This window comes from Homo sapiens, chromosome 6 (assembly GCF_000001405.40).
Source record: "Homo sapiens chromosome 6, GRCh38.p14 Primary Assembly".
Classification (NCBI taxonomy): domain Eukaryota; kingdom Metazoa; phylum Chordata; class Mammalia; order Primates; family Hominidae; genus Homo; species Homo sapiens.
The window spans coordinates 3,977,274-3,984,355 of record NC_000006.12 but is presented as its reverse complement, the minus strand read 5'-3'; the positions used below and the strand labels follow the sequence as shown (position 1 = coordinate 3,984,355).

General features: G+C 38.3%; 1 pseudogene, besides 1 other annotated feature; it reads right to left on the bottom strand.

Annotated features, from left to right (window-relative positions):
• Window positions 4,987-6,315, bottom strand: GLRX3P2 (glutaredoxin 3 pseudogene 2; annotated as a pseudogene).
• Window positions 5,767-6,061: a silencer, noted in NCBI's record as "tiled region #14796; HepG2 Repressive non-DNase unmatched - State 12:CtcfO". NCBI's record gives its function as "represses a minimal TATA promoter and a strong SV40 promoter by Sharpr-MPRA in HepG2 cells {active_cell/tissue: HepG2}" and the evidence as "EXISTENCE:reporter gene assay evidence [ECO:0000049][PMID:27701403]".

Genomic DNA, 7,082 nt, shown 5'->3' with positions numbered 1-7,082 from the left:
ATGTAGGTTTCTAAGCTGTATGCAACTAAAGCATATTTGCTTCATGACCAACATCTATATGCTGTGATGTTATCCAGTGAGTGAAACACAGGTCAACTCTACACGAAGCCTTTTTTTGTATTCCTATTTTGTCTTCTCCATCTCTCCTTTCTTATTATAGCATATTTTTTTCACTCTAAGGAAAGAACATTTATGCAGGGCTTGCTTACCCCAACAAAGCATAGCACAGGCAGGGCTGACACAAAATCAACGGGAGAAGTTTGAAAAAAGAGAACTGCTGGGATTAAATGTTCAGTGATTTACTTGTTGTATTAGTCCATTTTCATGCTGCTGATGAAGACATACCCAAGACTGGGCAATTTACAAAACAAAGAGGTTTATTGAACTTACAATTCCACATGGCTGAGGAGGCCTCACAATCATAGTGGAAGACAAAGAGGAGCAAGTCACATCGTATGTGGATGGCAGGAGGCAAAAAGAGAGCTTCTGCAGAGAAACCCCCATTTTTAAAACCATCAGATCTCATGAGACTCATTCACTATTAGGAGAACAGCACAGGAAAGACCCACCCCCATAATTAAATCACCTCCCACCGGGTTCCTCCCACAGACATGTGGGAATCATGGGAGTTACAATTCAAGATGAGATTTGGGTGGGGACACAGCCAAACCATATCACTTGTTGAATGCACTTGGATTGTACGGAGTGGGGCTGAGCTGCTGATGTGTGTGCTTCATCCACTTTGGGGCAATTTTCTTATTGTATAAACTGAATCATGCGCCTGTCCTCATTTGGCTTCACGTTAGAACCAAAAGATGAGAGATATGTGCCCTTTAAATGGGCTTTTAGTCACATTTTATAACATAATAAATCTAATTTTCAATGAATATACCAACGTATATATCTAGAATAAGCCATTTGCTCAGGAAAACATATGTCAACATACTTATATGCAGTAAACGCCAACTGAAGCTTAACTTTTTCTAACAATTCTGAAGTCTCAGAACATTTACTACCTCTTTTTAGGAATTGCTTCCAGAGCCATAAGCACATTTTTATAAATATTGCCAACAGTGATATAATATCTTCATCCATTAACATTAAATTGAATTTTTTGCAAATGATCAAAAGGTCATTCCGAGTAAATTCTGTTGTATAGTGCAGATGATCAAGCTGAGTATTTGCCATGTTTTTATTTTAGAAAAGAGATGTTGCTATAACATAAGTAAATAGATTCTCGTATGTGGCAGATAAATTTACTTGTAATCTGCTCTAGAGTGAAATTATTTTTTACATATAAGCATTGTCATCATTCTAAGGATTATTGAATAATGAATATAAAATGTTCTTGTGTATTTGTGTATGTGTATATAATTTTTTGAAAGTTTCTTTATCCTATTGACCCTTCTCATAAACAGTAGCATATATATATTATATGTAGTAGAATTTATATAGGAACATTGTCTTTTTCCCAGTAATGCTGATTCTAAACTAGATTATGTAAATTTCATGTAACATGACATTAAGAATAGTGGGGTGCTAAAGATATTTAGAAATGATTTCCAAAATTGTTGTATTTCTAACATAGAAGGATATTGTCATTTTAAAATAATGTAAAGAAAAAATGCCCCAAACTATCTCTTTAATAAAGTTTTTTTTTAAAATAAAAAACCATTTGTTCAACACTTTATAATGTATATGTTATTTCTCATACCTGGTGTTTTTTTTCATAACAACTAGAGAAAATTGCTATTATCATTATTCCCATTTGAAGAGGAGCCTATGAAGTTTCATTAGAGGTAAATCATCTTGCTCAAGATCACAGAGCAGTAAGTGTTGGAACTGGAATAAACCTAGATTGTCTGACTCCAAATCTGTGCGTGTGTGTTTAATGTTTTAACTTTTATTTTAAAAGTTCAGGGTACATGTGCAGGTTTGTTACACAGGTTAACTCGTGACTCGGGGGTTTGGTGTACAGATATTTTGTCACCCAGGTACTAAGCATAATGCCCGACAGTTTTTTTTTTTCCCTGAGCCTCTCCCATCTCCCATTTTCCTCCCTCAAGTAGGCTCCAATGTCTGTTGTTCCCCTCTTTCAGTCCATGTGTTCTCATCATTTAGCTCCCACTTGTAAGTAAGAACATACAATATTTGGTTTCCTGTTGCTGTGTTAGTTTTCTAAGGATAATGGCCTCCAGTTCCATCCATGTTCCTGTAAAGGACATTGTCTCATTCTTTTTTATGGCTGCATAGTATTCCATGGTATATATATACTACATTTTCTTTATCCAGTCTACTGTTGATGGGCATTAGGTTGATTCCAGGTCTTTGCTGTTATGAATAGTGCTGCAGTAAACAGACAAGTGCATGTGTCTTTATGATAGAATGCAAATCCTGTGGGTTTTTTAATAAGATAATTTATATGTGAATACTTTGCAGTAGGAAAATGGAGTATAAATCAAAGAGCATTTGACAAGATCGAGTCCTGGCTCTGTCCCTGAGTAGCTCTGTGATCTTAGGCAGTTTATTTCATCTACTTTCTTGTGCCTTAAAGTTAAAAGACAATAAACTTGGAGAAAATATTTGCATCATATGTAACAGATAAAAGATTAACATCCAGAACACATAGCCAATTCCTAAAGACAAATAGTGCAACAGGCTGTGCAATTTAACCGTATAAGGTAAAACAACTAAGGAACACATGAGTGAAAGCATAGAGAAAAGCTGAGGCAGGAAATGTTACCAGGCACCTGAGAGAAGCTGTTTCTCATGACTGAATGCTCATTTAACATGTCAGTTTGTTAACAAGGCAAAAAGAAAATACACTGTGGAACAAAGTTTTCATCATGTGACAAAAAACAACATGCCCATTCTTCAAAAACAAATTTCCTTAGGACTTGATATGGTCTGGCTCTGTGACCCCACCCAAATCTCATCTTGAATTGGAATTGGAATTGGAATCCCCACGTGTTGGGGGAGAGACCTCATGGGAGGTGATTAGATCGTGGGGGCAGTTCCCCCGTGCTGTTCTTATGATAGTGAGTGAGTCTCATGAGATCTTTGGTTTTGTACATGTCTGGCATTTCTTCTGCTGGCACTTTTCTCTCCTGATGCCATGTGAAGAAGGACATATTTGCTTCTCCTTGTGCCATAACTGTAAGTTTCCTGAGGCCTCCATGCAGAACTGTGAGCCAAATAAACCTCTTTCCTTTCCAATTACCCAGTGTTGGGCAGTTTTTTACAGCAGTGTGAGAACAGACTAATACAGGACTCGGTAGGAGGGATTTAGCATTTGGTGATTTGGATAGGAAATATTGATTTCCTGATACAGTGGATGACATCTTCAACAGTGCATTTCCTCAGACATGGGCAACTCAGGTGGATGCTCATCTTATCCTTGTTTTTAATTTCAAATTTATGTATTCCTTTAATAAAATTAACATATAATCAAGGATTTAAGAAATATCTATCAGTACAGAAAGGCCCCAATCTTCCCTGCCAGTATTCACAGCTCCACAGACATAAATACTTTAAATGTTTTTGGGTTATGTCTTCTCATAGTTATTTCCATAGCTTCCAATGATGACATGTGTTTGCTGTGATTTTTTGATTTATCCATATTAATAATTTCTACTGGGGCTTTCTGCTCTGAGAGATTCCATAGTGAATGAGCTGGTGTCTCAGGCTTTAAACAATCATTCATGCTCTTTCTTCCACCTCTGTGGAGGCCACGTTGGACTGTGACATTAGTGAGAAATAAACCCTTATTATGCTAAGCCACTGAGATTTGGGGGTTGTTTGTTAACACAACATAGCCTAATTTACCCTGACTACTAAACTGCCCAATTTCCTCACCAGTGAAGCTAGCCTCACTGGTGAGGAATAAACTCTATAGTGCCTCACTCTTAAATATAAATGCATAAGCAAGATTCATCAGATATTTGAGGAAAGTGTTCACATGAAGAACAGACTCTTAATCAGAAGCAGAGGAACTCATAGGTAACAGAGACAATGCAACGAATAGAAGAAAACATTTGTTTTAAAAGCCGGGTGCGGTGGCTCACGCCTGTAATCCCAGCACTTTGGGAGGCCAAGATGGGTGATCACCTGAGGTCAGGAGTTCAAGACCAGCCTGGCCAACCTGGTGAAACCCCATCTCTACTAAAAAATACAAAAATTAGCTAGGTGTGGTGGCATGCATCTGTAGTCCCAGCTGATAGGGAGGCTGAGGTAGGAGGATCACTTGAACCCAGGAGGCGGAGTTGCAGTGAGCCGCAATCAAGCCACTGCACTCCAGCCTAGGCAGCAGAGCGAGATCCTGTCTCCAAAAAAAAAAAAAAAAAAGAAAACATTTGTTTTAAAATTAAAATCTGCAAAGATAAGGAAAGATATTAAACCTATAAAACAAGAAGAAGGTGCTATAGAAAAGAAACAATGAGAGAACAAGAAAGAACTTTTAGAAATAAATAATAGAGTAGAGACTAAGATAAATAAATAGATATGCAAATGTTCATAGCAGTTTTATTTATAATAGTTCCAAACTGGAAACAACCCAAATGTTCTGTAATGAGTGAATGATTAAACAAATTGTAGTACATTTATACTGTGGAAATACTACTAACAGTAAAAACAGAAAAACAACACACACATAGCTTAGAAGAAATTATGCTGAGTGAAAAAAAGCCAATCTTAAGCATGTTGCGTGATTTCATCTATGCAACATTGATGAAACATCATTTTTGAAATGGAGAACAGATTACTGGTTGTGAGGGATTAGGAATGGGGGAAGAGGGAATAGGTATGTTCATAAAGTGGTAACATGCGGGACTCTTACGGCTATGGTACTGTTGTGTATCTTGATTGTGATGGTGGCTATCCAAGACAACACAAGTGATAAAATTGCAAAAAGTTATGCCAAACACACACGGGCATGTGTAACTTGTGAAATCTGAATGAGCTCTGTAGATTGTACCAATTTCAGTTTTTTTCTAGTAGCTGTATGTTTAATATTGCTGTAAAGATACACTTTTTTATACAGTTATTGTTAATAATTTGAAGATGTTTATTGCATTCTATTTTTAGTGGGAAAACATGTAACATACTTTTATTTAGCACGACATTGTGAAATACAAAAAACATGTAACTGAGTAAGCAGGATTTTTCTATTCCTAGCCCATTTCTGAGGACTAAATCATGAACTGCTCCCAATGTAATTAAGTATTTCTTGCAATAGTTGGGCACCAAGTTTAAGATTTATTAATTTTCTCCTCTCAGTATAGGCAGCAATTCACCATTTTCTTTCAGCTCTTTCACAATATCCAATCCTCCCACCAGCTCCCCTTTCACATACAGCTGAGGGTATGTTGGCCAATTTGAGTAAGCTTTTAATCCTTGCCGATCTCCTTCATCCTCCAATATATCGAATGTTTCATATTCACCACCAGTACTATTTAGTATTTCCAGAATTTGTTTGCTGAATCCACATTTTGCTTCCTGTTTGTTTCCTTTCATAAAGAGCATCATAGAAGCTTCATTTGTCAGCACTTTGAGCCTTTCCTCTAATTTGGGAGCTTTGGGACAAATTATATCTAGTTCTTCAGATGCGTGTATCTCCTTAATTATATCAAGTCCTCCTATGAGCTCTCCAGAAACGTAGAGCTGAGGATAGGTAGGCCAATTGGAATAGGCTTTGAGCCCCTGTCGAACCTCTTGATCTAAAGACATCAAAACTGCTAAACTAAATATTATGTTTGTGAACAATTTCCACCATCTGCTTGCTGAAACCACAGAGTGGTTCTTGAGGAGTTCCTTTCATAAACAGCATGCAGGGGGCAGCATGAGTCAGTTTCTGTAAGCGAAGGTTGAGATCTTCTTTAAGATGTTCGTCAGTGCTGGGTGGGAAGGAGCCACTAGATGCATGTCGCTGAGCTTTTTTGGTCTTTAAGATGTTCATCAGTGCTGGGTGGGAAGGAGCCACTAGATGTCGCTGAGCTTTTTTGGTCAACTCTGGGATGTGTGCACCATCTAATCGGTCAATTTTCTGAGAATTATTGAAAAACAGAAAAGTGGGAACAGAGCCAATTTCATATTTTTCAGATACTTCAGGAACACCTTCAGCTTCCAACTTCACAAATGAAACTTGAGGGTGTTCTTTAGCTAACTCTGCCATAACTTCGTTCATCTGTGCACATTGTGGACCACAAGGAGGGACTTGGCTTTGAGGCGCAGCAGCTCCTCAAACTGGCCGGCTGAGCTGACCTCTTCTACAGCTGCTGCAGCCGCCTTGCTGCCCCTGCCACCGTGCTGCCGCCACCACCAATTTCAATTTTTCATTTTCGATATTATGCTATAGTCGTTCAGGATGTTAACAGTGAGGGAGTCTGGGGGGGCGGTGCATGAGACATCCCAGTACCTTTTTTTGAATTTTGAAATAATATTTCCTGTGAATCTATAATTATTTAAAAATAAAAAGCTTTAAAAATCTTCAAATAAATAAGCAGATACTTTGGAAGATAAAGTCAATAACATATCCCAGAAAGAACAAAAAAGGCAGTGTGGAGGACAGAAGGAGAGAAGGGAAGGGAAAAGATAAGAAAATTAGAGAATCAACTCAGAGGTGCATGATATTAGGAATTCCAGAGAGAACAGAGTAAACAAAGGAGAAGAAACTAAAATAATAAAAATCTACACGAACTTGAGAACATGTGCTTTTGTACAGAAAGGGCTTCCTGAGTGCCCATTGCAGTGATGCAGAAAGGCCCAGCACATCGGAATGACCTTTCAGAACACTGAGAGGCAAGGAGAACATCTGTGCTGGATTGCCTCTTGTCAACCTGATGACACCACCGTTCTTCTGAGGTTGGGAACTATACTTCCCAGAATTCTGTTCCCAAGGTGGCAGGGATGGAGCTGAGCTTAGGCTCGGTGAAAGTCTGATTTGCAAATGGCTCCTGCAGGGTGCCCAGCCTGCCAACAGCAGAGACAAACATTGAGCCCATGATGTGGCACTGTTATTTGGGGGAATCAACAGTTTAAGTAACGTGGACCATTTCCATCTTGCCAGAAGCACTGCTTTGTTCTCA